Source organism: Homo sapiens, chromosome 5 (assembly GCF_000001405.40).
Source record: "Homo sapiens chromosome 5, GRCh38.p14 Primary Assembly".
NCBI classification, from domain to species: Eukaryota; Metazoa; Chordata; class Mammalia; order Primates; family Hominidae; genus Homo; species Homo sapiens.
This window is the reverse complement of record NC_000005.10, coordinates 9417419-9436475: the sequence shown is the minus strand read 5'-3', so window position 1 is coordinate 9436475 and position 19057 is coordinate 9417419. Positions and strand designations below refer to the sequence as shown.

General features: G+C 39.3%; 1 protein-coding gene across 8 annotated transcripts in view; it reads left to right on the top strand.

The window, feature by feature from the left end:
• The window catches only part of SEMA5A (semaphorin 5A), a 511043-nt gene that overhangs the window by 109600 nt on the left and 382386 nt on the right, over positions 1–19057 (top strand). For 2 of the 8 annotated variants that reach the window (XM_011514156.3, XM_047417866.1), the window contains exons 3-4: positions 13238–13382; positions 14727–14799. The exons of 3 other annotated variants lie outside the window; for them this stretch is intronic. The gene's annotated coding sequence lies outside the window, so the exon portion shown is untranslated. The remainder of the gene's footprint in view (positions 1–13237; positions 13383–14726; positions 14800–19057) is intronic. 3 more of the 8 variants (XM_006714506.4, XM_047417865.1, XM_011514157.3) reach the window with 2 other exon arrangements.

Below are 19057 nucleotides of genomic sequence, written 5' to 3'. Positions count from 1 at the left end.
TAGATGTGCTCAGCTGAGACGAGAGGTTCTCCTGTGTCGTCCTTACGTTTTGCAGAAGAAGAAACGGAGGTCTGCATTTTGTATCTTTCTCCAGCCCACGTAGATTCAGGTTCACATAGTGTCTTAACCGGAACCTCCCGTTCCCTCCCCCATGGAGAACCACAGCACCTGAGAGCTGGAAGAATGACCACATGGAGCCTGTGTTGGCTTGCTTTGGATGGTCAGCGGTTATCATGATATATGATAGGAAGAGTTATTAGCTAATGTAAGTCCTCATTGTGTGTCAGGCCCTGTGCTGAGTGAGATGTTTAAAATTCTCATAACAACCCTTTCAGGTTCGTATTCTTGGGTCACTGTTTTAAAGATGAGGAAATTGAGGCACAGAGAGCTTAAATAATCTGCAAGAGAATTGCAGTGAGTCAGAGGCAGAGCTGGGATTTGATTCTATCTTCTTAACCTTTACAGAAAACTGCCTTTTAGCACTAACCATGCCTCCCTAGAATAAGAACAGTCATATTTTAGTTTTTATTCCTTACTGGAGTTACTCAGACCTGTAGAGAGAAACTCAGAACAAATATTAAGAAATCAGTTTTTCAAACAGTAATCTAAATCAAGAATTGGCGAACGTTTTCTAAAAAGTGTGAGAAAACATTTTGGCGCTTACAGGCCATAGAGTCTCTGCTGCATCACTCTGCCGTTGTAGTATGAAAGCAGTCATAGGTATGTAAGTGAATGGGCATGGCTGTGTTACAATAAAACTTTATTACAAAGACAGGTGGTGGGCTGGATTTGGCCTCCAGGCTAAGCAGCTTTCTGAGCTATGATTGACACGATCCTTGCACTGCCGAAGACCTCATAGTATAGTGAATGAGAGTGTTTCGGGGACAGTAGGTATTAGTCCCACAGTGCAATTTATCTTGGATGCTTGGATTTTAATTATAAACAAATTTTATTGAAGTCTATTGTAACTGCAAACCTTACCCCTTAGAATAAGGACATTTGATGTTCTATTGCTTGACATGGTTTATATGCCCCAAATGTGTTAGTCTAAGTCCCACCTAAATTACAGCTTTGCTCAAATTAGGGCCTGGTAAATATTATTTTCTTGACATTTTGTTAAGCTGGTATATATAACTCATTTATGAAATAAGTTTAGATGGTATTTCCTACTTTGGTTTTTATATAGTTTCTGAATGTGACACTGTTAGTTTGCACCCTTATACATACTGCCTTTTATATATATTAGGGTAAACATGCAATTATCTTGGGCCTTCTGATAATTTTGTTGAACAAGAATGTTCTGGTCTGGTCTCGAATATCCCTCTTTTATTATGAGCAAAGATGGAGTTTGAACAGGATTGACATAGTTAAATGATGAAATAACATGGCAATACCCTTTGCCACATAAATAAATTGTGGTATGATTTTTTAAATTTTTCTTTTTTATTACAAACGGATACTTCTGATACTTAAAGGCATATTTGACTCTCTACTATATCATTTACAAAGATGGGCAAAGAAAATTGAAAGACCAATTAATTTGTGTTTCTTTAAGCAATTTAAGCAAGGAACTATTGTACTCATTCATTCGTTCATTCTTAGAAATCTATAATTGCAGCAAACTCAAGAGCCTGATAATATAGCAGAAGTTTTGGAGACATGCCTTTGTCAAGGAGCACTGGCCCCTAGGTACTTATTCCATGTGCCATGGCAAAGTGTGCTTCACCTTAATAGCAATGATATAAAAAATGAAATTCTGACCATAAAAGTAATGGAAAACTATCCTTGATTCCTTATTAACTGAGAAAGCAAATTGCAGAATAATATATTTAATATAATCCCATTCCTCTTAAAAATAAACACAGACTCACACACACAATCTCTATGCACAAGTTCATGTGTATTATAAAGTCTCCTAGAATATATATTAATATATACCATACTCTAAACAGAGATTATCTCTGGAGTACAGGTGTTTGCACTTTATCATCCATGTGGTCAGTAAGATTTTCAGGAGTATTATTATTTTTACAATTAAAAAAATTTTTAAAGTGCATTAATGTAGTGAATGCTCATTACTGAAAATATATAAAAGAAGAGGAAAATTCAACTATAATGCCTCTATTGAAGACAATCACAGACGACATTTAATGTAGTCTTTTATGGAATATTTTTGATAAGCAGTTTAAAGAGTTGAGATAATACTAGACATAAAATTCTGCATACTGCTTTTTCACTTATACATACTTTCTCATATTATTGCAAATTGAAGAAAAAACCCTTGTTTTAATGTATATGTAATACTCTATCGTGTAAAGGCACTGTAATGTCATTTCCTGCTTCTTTTGTGGAACATATGTTGCTTCCAGTTCACAAAAGTCATAGACCATGCTGAAATGAACATGAAAAGGGTGATGGGAGACTTCATACACCTGAGTTCCAATCCTGCTTTCTCATTTTGAGCAGGTCACTGTATTTGGTGCATGAAGTACATGCTTCAAAAACAATAGCAATTGTTATTGTAATACTTTCTTTTAATTGAGGGTTAATTCATTAGCTCAGAAGAGCTATGGTTGATTTACTACATAAAACCCAGGGAGTCTTAAAAATCTGCCAGTTGGCTTTGTAAAAGTATTGTAGATATTTATACTTCATTTATATGCTGGAGAATTTATTTTGCTAAAACAAATTTGAATATCATTACTCAAAAACTTTGAGTAGTATTATTAATTGTTTTAGTCAATTTGATAATATTCTTTTTTTATATATTTTATTTTTTACTCATTGTGTTTCTTTGCTAATTTTTTTTCAAGCAATAATTAGCCATTACTCTGAGAAGAGGTGAGAGAAAGAGAGAAAGGAGGAAGGGAAGGAGGGAGGGAAGGGTGGGAGAGAAAGAGAGAGACAGAGACAAACAAGCGTGTGTGAGAATTATTTGTCCAGATTTTATAACTGTTTAGCTATAGAGACTCAACATTTTTCTTACAGATTTTAAGGCTTAATTATTAAGAATATTAACTCATTATTGTCACTGTTTTTTCCGCTATTTCATTTGCTTGTTTGCTTTATCCTTTTAAATTTAAATAAGTTTATTTTAGTGATGTCAGATTTTTTCTTGATAATGATTTTAATCAGTGCTTAGGAATAAAACAAAACATTTTCATCTATAAAATGGGAATAGTAAAAAAATGAACAAAAATTCTTTACTTTCTTCTGATTGTATTAAAAATATTTAACTGTTTAATTCAGGAACAGATATTTAAAATATAGTTTTGCTTTTTAAAACCTTCTCAATGTTTTATTCTGCCTTTCTTTGTCCTCACTGAAAAAAATCAATCCCCAATTTTAATTTATTGTGGATGTTCGGACAATAACAATATTTGTACAAGTGGGAGAAAATCCCAGAAACACACTTCTCCTTTCTACAAATAGAGACCTAGTTTAGAACCAGACAACTTAAATTTTCTCATTCTTTTATTCATTCTTCGTTAGGGAGAAGGGAACTTTCTATTTTAAGATTTTATATAACCTATGACTATATTTTAACAACTATATTTCATTTTTAAAAAATTTTATAGAACTTAACCCATTATATTAACCATGATTAAATCCTGATCACAGTGCTTTGCTTCTTGGCTCATTCTTGTAGCTAACTTAAGGTGTTTGCATTAAATGTTACATGGTGGGTATCAAAGACCAAGTTAAGGCTGGTCAAATCACAAATAAGATGTCCTCGTTTGTGCAGTCTCGAGCACTGATGTAAAATAGTAATTTGTTGTGATGTGCGTACAATAATGTTAAGGGCAGGAGTTCCAAAAGATTGAATCTAGATCTCGCTTTTTGAGATTCATAACCACCTGACCGTGGACAGATCGGACCAAGAGTCAGCTCTCAGTCTTTACTTGTCTTGATTTTGTTAGATTTCTTGGCTATAAAATAAGGAAAGTGAGAAGACATAGGTTTGGGTGTGATAATAGGTAATGAGGGGTTTAAACTAGACAAAGAGACCAAATATGAAAAAAAAAGTGCTTGCTGAGTTGCTGACGGTGTTTCTTTCGGTGCCACGTTCCTGAAAGGAATTTTATTTTGTGATATTTTCAGGGCATCTCTATGTATATTGTTGATACAAGGTACACACTTGCTTAAACATGCTGAGTGGTTGTAATTTGGGATAAAGGTTTAGCCTGTCATTCCTAATAATGTCAGAAATACAGGGCTGTAGACACCACTCCTGAGTCCCATCCGATTGTGTACTCAGCCTGATGGAAAATCTCTGTGAGGCCATCCAGAAAGGCCCGTGCAGAGCTGATCTGTTTTGTCACAAGCATTTCACTCCGCTTACCAAAGCTCACTGACAGGAGAATTGTCAGCTTCCATTATCTCCATCAGAATGCATTGGAATTCCCCATTATGGAACTTGGGAAATCTTGCCTCTCTCTCTGTTCTCTGCTGTTTGAGATTTGGGCCTTTTCCCCTCTTTTGTTTAGGTGAATGTCTGCCAAGTGTGTTATCTTCCTGAAGGTCACCAGCTTTATGGCTACTATAAATATTTGTGAATCACAGCTGTGTGGTGAAGTTCAGAATTCATTTTCTTTTCTTAGTTTCGTGATTGAGTGAGGCTGGGAGGGATTGACGTGTGCTGTTTATTCTCAGACACCCATTAGAGGGGCAGATGTGTGTGGGGTTAATTGCTTGGATTTGGATTTACATGTGCACGTAAGGATACTGCCCTCTCAATTACACTGTGTGTAAGATCTCTTTTTTTGGCAGAACTTTCCTGAGGGCATAAAAACGACCCCACGTTTGGATCTTTGGATTTCATGGGACTTTGGGGATTTTCCTGCCCTGTGGTTTCCAGATCAGAGTATTGGAGAGGCCTCTATAGCTGCAGGGCTGCAAACCTAATCAGTTCATGCTTTATCTAGGAAAGCTAGTGGGGGTTTCATGTGTGTTTGTGTCTTTTTGAGCCTCCGAGGCCACAAAGAAATCAGAGTCATTTTGCTTCATTTGTTTTTGTTTAAAGCCTGAGCAGTAACCACTATTGGTTAAACCAAAGCAGAAAAAGCAAAGGTTGGGAAGTTGGTTGGGAGATTCTGGGAAGTAAATATCACCACATTTTCATGTAACAGTATCTAAGAATAGTGCACTTACATTTCCAGTGCTGAGGAATTAAGTGGGTTGATCTAAGTTGTTTACTGTAGCTCAGATTTTTTTTAGTACATATAAATTGGGGTACCCTTATCACAGCTCAGGGGCCACATACTTTTTGAGAACTGTTCCTCTTTTCTTCATTGCAGGCCACCTCCTTACTACAGTGATGTTTTAAAGGTGAGGTACCTACCCAAGTGGGCCAATCACAATATTCCAGCTAGTGGACACTGATTAATTCTGATGGAAACTCTTAACCCTAGTTTGGCCAAACTGTATCCCATTCCTTTGCTCCTACAGTACTTAAGCAGTTATTTCCTTTCTTTCCTACATAATCAGCTTTTATTTTTCCCTCTATGCTGTTTATTTTTTTTTCCAATAGGAATGGAAACATCTATCATCCTAAGAAAATTTGACCTGTGGCCTCTAATTTCCTCTTTAGTTATAATACATTTATCTCCTCTTTGCTAAAAAAAAAACAAAAAACAAAAAAAACTTGGTTTAAAGTATTTGCCTGTACTTGTTGTCCTCCATTTCTGCCTTTTTATTTTATTTTGAGCCCAGTCTGATCCCTTAGTCATTCCTTCAGCACTGCCTAGTCAAGATCACCCAACACCGCCATGTTGCTAAATCCAGCAGTCGAGGCTCAGTCATCATCATACTTAACAGTTAGCAGCTTTTATACCATCGACCCCTCCCACCTCCTTGACATACTTTCTCTACTTGGCTTTAGGATGCTCCATTTCTCTGGCCTGACCTCATATCTCTGGGCTTTGCATCTTAGCCTCAAATGGTCATCTCCCTGCCATCCAAGCACTGGAGTCCCATAAGGTTCAGTGTCTGGACCTTGTCTCTTTTCCCACCATTCTCACCATTTAGAAATCTCTTCCAGTCTCATGGCTTTAGTATCATTTGCACACTAATTACTCCCACATGTCTATCTTCAGCCAAAACCTATCCCTAAGCTCCAGAATTGTTTATATATTCAACTGCCTATTTAACCTCACAACTGGATGTCTAATTTATGTCTTCAAATTAACCATGTCCAAACTGAACTCTTTTCTCCCCACAACCCCTAGCCATGTCCTTCTGTAGAGTTCCTCATTTTATTAATGGGAAGTCCAGTCTTCCACTTGCTCAGGCTGAAACAGTTGGAACAATACTTGATTATTCTCTTTCTCTGTCACCCCACATCCCAGCTGTCAACAAATCTTATTGTTGTTCGTTTTTTTGTTCAACATATATCCAATATCTTACCACTTCTCAGCACCTTCACTGCTCCCTGCCTCAGCTAAGCTCCCAGCAACTTGGTCCCCGTGAGTTCTCAGGTCTTCCGGCCGTCTCGCTGCTTCTGCTCTTGGGCCTCCGTGGTCTTTTCTCCACACAGTGACCAGACAGGCTCTCTGCTGAGAATCCTCCAGCAGCTGCTGCCTTATTCTGATGGAAAGCCAGCTTCCTCCCTTGGTGCGCCAGGCACCACGTGTCCCTTCTTTGTCCTCATCCTCTCTCTTCTCTATCTATCTTTCTCTCCCAAGCACCAGCTTCAGTTTCACTGGCCTCCTTGGTCTCCCTGGAACAGAGTAGCCACTTTCCTTGCTCAGTCTTTTCATTCTGACTCCTTTCTGTGCCTGCAGCACTCTTTACCTGAAGATCCCTGAAGATTGCTCCTTGGCCTACTTCAAGTTTATTCAACTCTTACCTTGTCAGGAGATATTCCTGATCAAATGACTAAAATGGAAAGTCTCCCTGCTATTCTCTATTTTCCTTTTCTGCTTTATTGCTTTTCTTGTAAAGAACTTAGCACTGTCTGATACATGAGATATTTTGTTTATCAATTTTACATAACTTCTGCCCCTGCCTTCTCATGTAAGCTCTACCCTGCCAGGGATTTTGCTTATTTTGTTCACTCACTGCTCCATTCCTAGGTGAGGTAAGGGACTAAGATGTAATAAGATGCCAATAATTATTTGTTGTGTAGATGGGTTGATGGATGGATTTTTCTGGGACTTTCTGAATCGCATGAGTAATACCCTATTTCTAATTTGGACACAGAGCTGGAAGGCTATGGGCTTGGCTAAGAGAAGAGGAATGGGATTCTTCCTCCCCCACCCCAATCAGAGATTCATGCATTTGGTATAATTTCCCCCACATTGTTCAGTGGGTAGATATTTGCTTGTTCACCAGTTCTCAGCTAATCTGTCTCATTTTCCATGAACCTTTCTCTTCCTTCTCCATGGCCGGATGAATTAAGTCACACCCCCTCTGTGTCCCCACACTCCTGTGCACATCCCTGCAATGGCAATTTAAAGTAGGATTCATTGTAGTATTTTGTAAATACATATAGTCCTTCCTTTTCACACTGTGAAGTCCTTGGCTTGATTATTGCATCCGTCTTCCCAATACTTAACACTCTGGCACATAATAAGCACTGAATACGTATATGTTATTTAATGAAGTGATTCAGATGGAAATTTTGTAAAATATAACTTCTCTAATGGTCCTTAAGAGTGTGATTAAATGTACTGCTCTAGCCTTCTGATTGTGCTATATTTAGTTTAAGAAGTTTATTGCATAATTTTACAATAATTAAATAATTATATTTGCTGTAGCCATTATAGACTGTCCCCATATTGTCCAGCTGGGGCCATTCATTTTACTGCTTTCTCAAATAGTCTTCACTGTTTTCCAGTGTAATTGAACATCACTTACAGTGTACCAAAGACAGGAAAGACTGTGAGATCCTTCTAAAGTCCGTTTCTTATTAATGGTTATCTATGAGATGTAGAAGAGAACAGAAAAGGAAGGTGAGGTATTCAAATAGCACCAAGACCGAAACCAATGTAGCTGCTTTCCTGCACTGTAGGATTCGGTATCACTTCCTTCCTGGCATCTAACCTTTCTTAAAGTGAGCATTTGAACACTATCAGTGTTACAGTGGAATTTCATAGTATCATCTTCAAGGAGTACATATTAAACATAAAAATAGCGCAGCACAGCATGACTGTCAGGTTGTGGGGTGAGCCAAGCTCAGAAGACTGAAATTGTATTTCCTGTAACATAGTTATCTGGATGTACATGTCCAGAGGACAGCACTAATGTTTAAGAGTATCTGCCTTGCTGTGACCACAATTCTGGGTCAATTGGATGGATGGATGGATGGATAGATAGATAGATAGATAGATAGATAGATAGATAGATAGATAGAGTTGAATATATATATATATATATATATATATATACACACACATATATATATTTACACACATATATGTAATATATGTAGATAGAGTTGAATAAACAGAAAGATAGAATATCCACCTATATAAATGCATGTATGTAAATTATATAGAGATAGATAAATAGATATAGAAACAGATAGAGAAAGCCTTATAATTGGATGAAACCCTACTGCATTAGGTGCACTAAGGCAGGGTTAAAATCTCTGAAATCTATATGTAAAACAGTATACTAACACCCAGCTATGTAACTTAATTATGAATTTGTGGCAAATTAGGGGTAGGCTGCTCAAGGATCCACCTACTAGAGGAAAATCACAACCTAGGTAGCACCTTTTAAATAAAACCTTTTCACTAACTTGGTGCTACATACACATGTGTGACTGTGGATACACACACGCACAGTATGGACAGTCACTCACCTTCCTTACATCCCTGAAGCTATAACTGTGCCTTATTACTGGTTGTGTTCCCAGCTGTGAGCAGCAGTTGTGATGTATTCATCAGCCCGGCACAGGGATGCACCAACCAAGAAGGCAGAAGGTTAGTAAAGCAGGAGAAGGACAGCACATTTCCCATGTTAGTTCTCAGGCTGAAACCTCATCAGAGAACCAACACATGCTTTGATAGGCAGGTCTATTCTTTTCTCCCAAGCCACTATCATTTTTGTGTATTTTCCTGAAATTCCTTTCTTCTCGACTCAACTTGATATGTAGTTGTATGTTTACTTTATCATTCTGCTGCAGTATTTTCTAGGAGTTGATTTCATCTTTTTCCCCCCCGAGACAGAGTCTTCTCTGTTACCCAGGCTGGAGAGCAGTGGCGGGATCTCGGCTCACTGCAACCTCTGCCTTCTAGGTTCAAGAGATTCTCCTGCCTCACCCTTCTGAGTAGCTGAGATTACAGGCGCCTGCCACCATGCCTGGCTAATGTTTACATTTTTAGTAGAGCTGGGTTTTCACCATGTTAGCCAGGCAGATCTTGAATTCCTGACCTCATGATACACCCGCCTCAGCCTCCCAAAGTGCTGGGATTACAGGCATGAGCCACTGCACCTGGCCAATTTCATTTTTTAAAATAACTTTCTCTTTTATGTACTGGACTATATTCTTTTAATATTATTTTATAAACCAGGTGTTAAGGTCTATGTAAATGTCTTAGAAGTGTCTTCTGGGACATCATAATATTAGCAACAATAAAAAAGTGAATTATGACAGTGTGACTCAGTTCTCTGATTATAATATTAAGTGTTTTGTTTGTTTTCTAACTTTGACTCTCATTTTCTTGCTCATTTTTTGTCTTTATGGCAGATAATGTACAAAGTTATTCTTGTTTTCTTGAGCAATTACTAAATGATCAGATACACCCAGAACGAACATTTCTAATCACGTGTGCATGATTTGTGAAGACTTTATTGATTTGAAGTAGCTTTTCTTGTCTTTTCTTAAGCACATGCCAGTTCCCCAAGTGTAGAAAGAATAGAGTGTAGCTAATCCTGGGTCACCTCCACGGGCCTGCGGTAGTCATCTGTGTTTGCAGCCAAAGGAGCACTTGAACATGCTCAGAGCAAGTCATTAAACAGTTCCTTGTAATGTAGCAATGACAATACACATTTATTTTATTTTATTTTATTTTATTTTATTTTATTTTATTTTATTTATTTTTTTGAGATGGAGTCTCGCTCTGTTGCCAGGGCTGGAGTGCAGTGGCGTGATCTCGGCTCACTGCAAGCTCCGCCTCCCAGGATCACGCCATTCTCCTGCCTCAGCCTGCCGGGTAGCTGGGACTACAGGCGCCTGCCACCGCGCCAGGCTAATTTTTTGTATTTTTAGTAGAGACGGGGTTTCACCGTGGTCTTGATCTCCTGACCTCATGATCTGCCCGCCTCGGCCTCCCAAAGTGCTGGGATTACAGGTGTGAGCCACTGCGCCCGGCCACAATACAAATTTAATAATGTGGATTTTCCAACATTTCCAAATCTGAAATATTTTTTGAAGCACTGCTAATAACTTGGTGATAATTCATAATGCTTACATTATCTGAGCACTTCCTGTGTCCCAGATACTGCTTTATGCATGCCATTTCATCTTCTCAACAAGCATGCAGGTTCTAATATTATCCCCATTTAAAGGTGAGTGAACAGTGTGGTGAGGTTAAGAAACTTGCCAAGGTCATGCTGAGGCCTCCTGCATGGCTGAGCCCAGTGGATAATATATAACTTCTTAATGCAGCATGTGTTTTACCCCTTTTATTTTCTAAAGGTCCCCAAGGGATTCCTCTTGGTAGACTATTACAGAAAAGAATTATAAAACAATAAAACCCACCTATTTTACAATTTATTGCAAAGTAAAGCAGCTATAGGTTTCTCCAAATGGAATCTTGGTTTTATTTCACTGAGCTAGCAAATATTTTGAGGGTTGGAACCCACCCTTACTGTGTAATTTCCTTGCAGAAAATACATGATTGGTGGTTGATTTCAAACAAAAATCCCTTAAGGACAGACATCTGTATAAACAAATGGTGTCCCTGAAACATCTCTTCCTGTACATGGGGTCACCAAGGGCTAGTGGTCGTCTCAATTAATGTCTGATTGGAAATCGTGCTTCTACTGTTGCTGTCACACACTGACTGCTTTTCTTGAAAATTGCAGTCAAAGTGACCATGAGAAATAACTTGCATTCTCCCTCCTCCCCAGGTATTTGTGTGTGTGTGTGTGAACACATGTAGTGTGTGAGCCTCGGTTTTAGGCACTGGCGATATGCACGTAAGCAAGACAGATAGGCTCCTGGCTCTCTGAGCATACATTTTTGGTGGAAGAGTTAGACCATAAGCAATAATTGCGTTCACAATAAATAAAAAAAGTATTGTCCAGTGGTTAAGTGCTATGCAAAGAATTCAGATGGGTTCATGTGACAGAGAGTGAACAGGGGACAACTTTGGATTGGTTTGTGTGTAGTGGGGAAAGGGACAGTGGTGTGAATTGAGACCACAGAGGTGGGTAAGGGTTAGCATATGTAGGGCTTTGTAAGCCGGGACATGAAACTTCTATGTCTATTAGGGGCATTGGGAACCCTTTGGAGAAGCAGTGGTGGGATATGAGTTATTTACGTTTCCAAATTGTCGGTTATATTATCAAGGTCACCACTGGGTCAGAGAATGGATTCCAGGGTAGCTAGAGGGGAAGCAGGAAGACCAGCTTGAAGCTCTCACAGATGATGGGGTCAGGCGTGATGGTGGCACAGACTACAGGGTTGTTAGTGTAGAAGGAGAAAAGTGGATGGGCTTGACATATTTAGAGGTAGAGTCTGTGGTGCTCTGATGGATTGGGCATTGGAGAGAGGGGAAGATAAATTAAGAATGAATTGGAAGTTTTGGACCTCAGTAAGTGAGTGGATGGTGGACAACTTACTGAGACAGAGAAGCCCTGGGGAGGTATAGGGGTTGGAGGGAAACGCAACAGTTCTTCTAGGGCAATGTTAACTTTGAGTTGAAGGCTTTCATTTCTCATCGGGTCTAGAGAGTAGACAGATACACAAGTGTGGGCTATCGAGGAATGATTGGGAATAGAGCTGTGTATCTGGGGGTCATTGACATATTGGCAGTATGTTTGAAATCCAGGGCCTCTGACCTAGGAGATGCCTCAGACATGTTTGGGAAGGTATTGGCATCTGTTGCAAAGCTCCTCATAATATTTCATTTGCTATAGTAGTGCTTTGATACTTCAGAAGTGATCTTAAAAGTGACAGAAAATCTCAAAGGTAATTCTCCTCTTGAGGGATTTCATTCAACATCTTAGTAGCAAAATTCTCCACTGTTGTATCGTCAAATGCCATTCTGGCTATAGGAAATAAGATCAGACTCTTACAATGAAATATTTGATGTGAGTTCCTTTCAGCACTTATTTTGCCTTTTTTTTTCTCACAATCAGCAGTTCAGGCTTTCATTCTTCTCAAAGCCAGGCTCTTTCCAGTTGAGTCTTGGGAGGTGCTGGGCAAAGTAAGGCATAGGTTATAATGATTTTTCCAGTTTTCTTAGTTATCAAATTGCTACTTTCTGACATTAAAAATTTGCTGCACTGTGTTCTCACTCCACACTGCACTTTTAATTGTTATAATTTTTCCCCAGAGACCTTGGGCTAGGGAAAAGTTTGTGTTTGAGAGGCCTGCTGAGAATTTTTGTCAATGTAGTTCACATTTTCAGTGTCAGTTCCAGCTGCAGTAGGCATACTTGTTGACTCATTGAATCTCTGTGAACATTTGTGATGTGTTGGGCGAGAGGCTCTTTGACCTGCTGTTAATAAAATGCAGCAGTTAGTGATGCAGGCCAGAGAGCCACTCAGTGTGTGATTCCCTGCAAGGATTTTTGTTAACCTCACTTGCATTGTTCACACCTTTTGTAAGAGGATCAAACCTGTGAAGCTCAGGATGTCACCAGAGTTTTATCAGTGGCTTAGAAGTTTGATTTTCTATCAAAGAGAAATACATTTGGCCTATTAATGTAAAGCATAAGGCTCACATTTCTCACAGTTAGTGAAAACAAGATTTGGCACTGGCCATTAGGATTCCCTGAGGCAGAAGTATTCTGCTGTAAAGTAGAATATATGACTGTCTGTTGAGAAGCGGTGGGTTGTGAGCTCCTAGAATCCATAGGGAAGCCTTTGTGAAAAGGCTGCGCATAGTTTGTACTGCACAATGATCAAGAACTTGTCAAAATAGATGAGCTCAGGAATAAAACAGATAACTAAGGATAAGTCATTTTCATCCAGTGGATCATTTCATTGGTAAAATGCCATTACGGAAAGTAGTTTATAAGTAATCCAAAATATCTCACTTTAAAAATTCGTGATTTTTTAGCACTTGTGAATCACCTCTCAAGAAAGCCATTTGGAACAAGTCTAGTGGGGAAGCAGGTGGTCGGAAGTCAGCCTTCTGCGTCCACAGTGGCCCTCAGCCTGAATTTTAAAATTATGTGATTCTCCTTCTCTGCTGCATGGCGGTGGTAAGATATCAGCTAATACACCCTTTAATGAATGATGTTGAGCTCACTGAGGGCAGTAAAATACAAAGGTGGAATTTGCATCAACTGTTCAAGGTCTTTAACGCTGGCTTGCAAGCAGTCTGTTAGACCCAGAGAATAAATCCCCTGCAATATTGCTTCTTCATAAAATGATTTTACAGTTGATCCTGGCTTGCAGATGGAGTCAGTGAAAGAAAAGTGGATTCCATTATACTTTTTAAGATTAATTTTTTTGCACTATTTTTGGAATGAGAAACATAATTCAACATCCTCTTTATTGGTGATACCAATAATAGTCTGATAAAAAATTCAACAAGATAACAGCAACAAAAACAACACTGAAAAATGCTTTGGAAGATCAGACAGAATGACAAATACATTTCTCTTTCCAGCCACCTAACAAAAAAGCCTGTGACTTTATTACTTGGAAAATTCTGAAAAATGACAGATCTAGAGAAAGATACCCTCAATGGAAATGTAAGAAACTAGTTCTCGGTCGACTGCATTCCGTTAGCCTTTTTGTTTTTATCTGTAAAGAGGAGAAAAACTTTGATACTACCTACAATTTTTAAAGAAAAAGACAGTCGGTTCTTTCTTGCAAATTCAACTTATTTTATATATAAACAGCTCTCTCCTCCCCTTTCATGATGCTTCTTCTCCGGATGCTGGAGATAGTTTTTGGGCTCAGAATTCTGGTCTGTATTTAGGTTCGGGTCAAAGACTTCATCCTATGGACAGCAGAGAGTAACAATTATAGCTGAAAATTCCCAATTTAAATGCGTTGCCCAGGTTGAAGAATTATTCAGGAGCAGCACCCTATAACATCTGCATTGAAGGGTGAGACCAACTGTGTTAATGATGGTGTATGACAGCTTCTTATAAGCCAAGGAGGGGGCAAGGTGGCATCTGTGCCAAAGGTTAAGAAAGCATTCTTGAACATGCAGTTTTATTTGTACTGGATCTTTTCCAAGTTCCTCTTTCACTGGATGTTTTATCTTAGTAATTGCAGAACGAGAATTTTCTGCTGATTCCTTCTTTTTGGCAACTTAAGGGATAGACTGTAATTTGGTTATCGTTAAACTAAACTGTGCTAAAAGATGACATAAACCATCTAAAAAGTCTAACATTAGATAGAGATAATATTTGCAATTCCTGCAATAGGCATAAGGTTGGTATTTCTAATATACAAAGAGCTCTTACAAATTGATGAGAAAAATTCAAGCAGCCCATAAGAAAATTGAAAAATATATGAATAGGTAGTTCACATAAGAGCAAATCCTCATGTCCAGTAAGTAGATGAAACAATGTTCTATCCATTGCTCTTAGGATAATTCAAATGAGATATCATTCTTCTGACTGGCCAAAAAGAGAGAGAGAAAAAAGATAACACCCATGACAGGTAAGGATGCTGATTAAAGGGGACTTTCACCCATGACTGATGGAAACATGAATTACTTACATATTTTGGAAAAGTGGTTTGATAATCCTAATTAAAAATATACAAACTATTTCACCCAGTATTACAACCCCTGGGAATATGTACTATACAAAGAAAAACACCCGTATATAATATATGAGGGCATATATATTGTAAAAATAAAAATACCAGCATACATATATAAGGGCATGTATAGTGAATGTTTATAGAAGCTTTTTTACTGCTTCCTTTCCTCTCTCCCAAAAATTGATCTCACATATTGAATGTGTACCAATCAAGTATAGATTATATGTCAGTTATGTTGTAAGAATGTCTCAGATGTGATTAAAGATTAATTTTAATCATACCTGGTTAACTTGGAGAGATTTTATGATATTATGAGAAAATCTCAAATTATAAAGTAAAATGACCTCCATCCCCCATGTCTGAATACCTGTATTTGTATGTTATTGCAGAAACATGGAGGAAGATACAGAAGGCAGTACACTAGACTGTTCACACTGATTATGTGGGTAGGGGAAGAAATAAGTTCAAAGAAATGGCCCTGAAATAGGCAGTGAGCTTGCAAAAGTATGAAGATTTTGGAAATGTGGCCATGAATTCTTTTTTGTTTGTTTGTTTTGAGACAAAGTCTCGCTCTGTCACCCAGGCTGGAGTGCAGTGGCGCGATCTCGACTCACTGTAACCTACCCCTCCGGGGTTCAAGCGATTCTCCTGCCTCAGCTTCCCAAGTAGCTGGGACTACAGGTGCACGCCACCATGCCTGGCTAATTTTTTATATATTTTTAGTAGAGACGGGGTTTCACCATATTGGCCAGGCTAGTCTCGAACTCCTGACCTTGTGACCTACCTGATTCCACCTCCCAAAGTGTTGGGGTCGCAGGCATGAGCCACCATGCCTGGCGGGGCCATGAATTCTAACCCTGTTGTTCTGGACATAGCAGAGGCCTGGTGACAAGTAAGACTGTCAGAGAGCCTTCCTATTGTCTAAAGGGCTCAAAATACTCTTACAAGGGATATAGGCCATCTCCCAGCCCCCAGTCATTGCTTCCTTATGTTAGGAATCATGTTTCTGACAACATTCATTCTTCTTTGAAAGTTCCCGTCTTAAAATACCAGCAGTCAGCAGCAGTGGATTAGAAATCCTTAAGTCTGCCCTTAGGTATTTGATGTAAGGTATTTAATATTTCCCCTTCTCTCCAGCATAGGAGTAACCCTGTGCAAGTCAAAAAGGCTCCCTGTGTCTCATTTTCCTCTTCTATGAGTGCAACTACCATAATTCTTTTGTGCATTACAGGTAGTGACAAATACTATAATTAAGGTAAATTATAATGGTAAATGCCTAACTTTTTATTCCAGGGGTGTTGCATAAACAAAGATGGAATGTAATACAGCCCACTAGCACCACTCTGTTGGCAAATGCTGCTGCTATCACTTAAAAGCAGGGGCTTCCATGAGTTTTAGCAGTCTCTGTGGTACATTTTTTGAAGCACCCCTGGGCATTGCACATCGTTCATGATGGAGCGCTCCATCATGTGTGCAAGTTACCAGTGGAGAAATGAAATAGTTCAGCCCGGGAACAAAGGCCCTTATGTTATTTGAACTCCATCTGGAACCAATATGGCCACCGAGGGGCCCAACAGTACACATCCTGAAACCAGTGGTTTGGCTGCAGATGTGCTAATAGAGCTTTTGGGATGTACATCAAAGAGTATCTACTCTAGACATAACTTTTCTCTGTGTGACACCACAGAAAAACAAAAGTTGTTCTTAATTTGCCCTTCTGAAACTTCACTTGTTTTTGTTGGTTATTCGTTGTGTTGATTTAATTTGAGCTTTGCCATATCTTGTCATACAATGATTCTTGAGAAAAAAATGGAATGCTCCCAGATGATAAACAGGAGTTATTTGGGTGTCATTTATAAAATGTTAAATCTGCCATGTACTTGTGTGTGCATGCATGCCCTAGGAAACATAAAGCCCCCTATTTTATCTCATGACCTTATCAGGGCCCACCTGTGACTCCTTAGGTTTGCACACAATCAGAAGAGGTTGACCAGATGTGTGCATGTTTAAAACCTGTACTTAGGAGATGTAATCAGCATCCTCGACCATCGTTGCCTCATCCTCTTTCATCCTGAGCTCAGAGATGCAGTTTTGCCTCACTGACCATGACCATTGAACATGACTTTGCACTGCCCTTCCTCTATCTTTCCCCTTCCTTTCTAAGTGAGGCACACACTCTGGCCAAAACATTTTCTATAGACATCTACAGAACACTCCACCCAACAACCGCAGAATATACATTTTTCTCATCTGCACACAGACTGTCTTCTAAGATCGACCACATGCTTGGTCACAAAGCAAGCCTCAATAAATTCAAAAACCTGGAAATCATACCAAGGACACTCTCACACCACAGTGCAATAAAAATAGAAATTAATGCCAAGATCTCTCAAAACTATACAAACACATGGAAATTGAACAACTTACTCCTGAATAACTCCTAGGTGAACACAGAAATTAAGGCAGAAATAAAAAAAAAATGCTTGAAATCAATGAATACGAGGACACAACTTACCAAAATCTCTGGGATGCAGCCAAAGCAGTGTTAAGAGGAAAGCATGTAGCCCCAAGACACTTTCATCAAGAAGTTAGAAAGGTTTAGAAAGGTTTCAAATTAACAATCTAACTTTGTACCTAAAGGAACTAGGAAAGAACACATCAACCTGAAAGCTAGCGGAAGAAAATAAATGACTAAAATTGGAGATTTATTTGTCCTTTACTTTGTCCTAAATGGTTAGGATGCCTATTACCTGCCTGAGCCCTTCTTAGCACCAACAGATGTCTCTGGATACATTCTATCTGTCTCATTACTGGTCCTCATCAGCACCAGGAGTATATGTAGTACAATTTGATTACTCTCCGGGGTATAAATACATATATGTCAGAGTTCCTGTTCCTAAAGAGCTTATGGTTTAGTGCGCCGTCAGTATTTGTGAACTGTGGAGGGCAGTTGTCAGATGTAGAGGGTGAAGAACACTCCTATTGCAGGGCAGGAATTTCCAGCAAATGGCAAGCCTTTGATTACCATCATGGGAGGGGGCTGAGGATTACAGCTGGAACCAAATGCTGATGCTACTGAGGCAAATAACTTTGAAAATGTAGTATTTGCCTTTATTTTGCTCTGCTTTGCATATAGGAAGTGTTATGGACTGAATGTTTGTGTCCCCTCAAAATGCATATGTTGAAATCCTAACACCCAGTTTGATAGTATTATAAGGTGGACCTTTGAGAGGTGATTAGGTTGTAAGAGTGGAGCACTCATGATGGGATCAGTGCTTTTATAAGAAGAGACACTGGGCCAGGCACAGTGGCTCATGCCTGTAATCCCAGCACTTTGGGAGGCCAAGGCGGGTGGATCACGAGGTCAGGAGATCGAGACCATCTTGGCTAACACGGTGAAACCCCATCTCTACTAAAAATACAAAAAATTAGCCGGGCATGGTAGCGGGCACCTGTAGTCCCAGCTACTCGGGAGGCTGAGGCAGGAGAATGGCGTGAACCCGGGAGGCGGAGGTTGCAGTGAGCCGAGATCACGCCACTGCAATCCAGCCTGGGCGACAGAGCGAGACTCCATCTCGAAAAAAAAAAAAAAAGAAGAGACACTGGAGAACTTGCTCCTGTGCTCTGCTCTGCCATGTGAGGATACAAAAGGTGACACCACCTCCAAACCAGGAAAGGAGCTCCCTCAGACATGGCATCTGCTGGCACTGTGATCTTGAGCTTTCCAGCCTTCTAAACAGAGGGAAATACATTTCTCTTGTTCAAGCCACTTGGTGTATGGTAATTTATTATAGTAGTCCAAACTGACTCTGGCAGGAAAGATGTAATAAATGTAAAAATGAAGTTGTTAAGTAGAGAGGCTGATAGGCAAGGGATGTGCTGATCGGAGGATTTGTGGTGATAAAGACAAGGCACAGAAGTAACGGGGCGAATGTCTCAAGAGCAAAGAATGTGATTATGGAATCAGGTGAATTGAACCTTCATGATCATTCTTGTTCCTTGTAACTTTGAGAACTACCAGAAGTAATAGAAGTAATCACTGGGTCCTGCATTGCAAATATAGGAGGTGCTAAGGAGTAACTGAGGACTGGTCTATTCACTATCAAAAGATATGGATAGTTGAAAGAAAAATGTACAAATTGGGATCCCACTT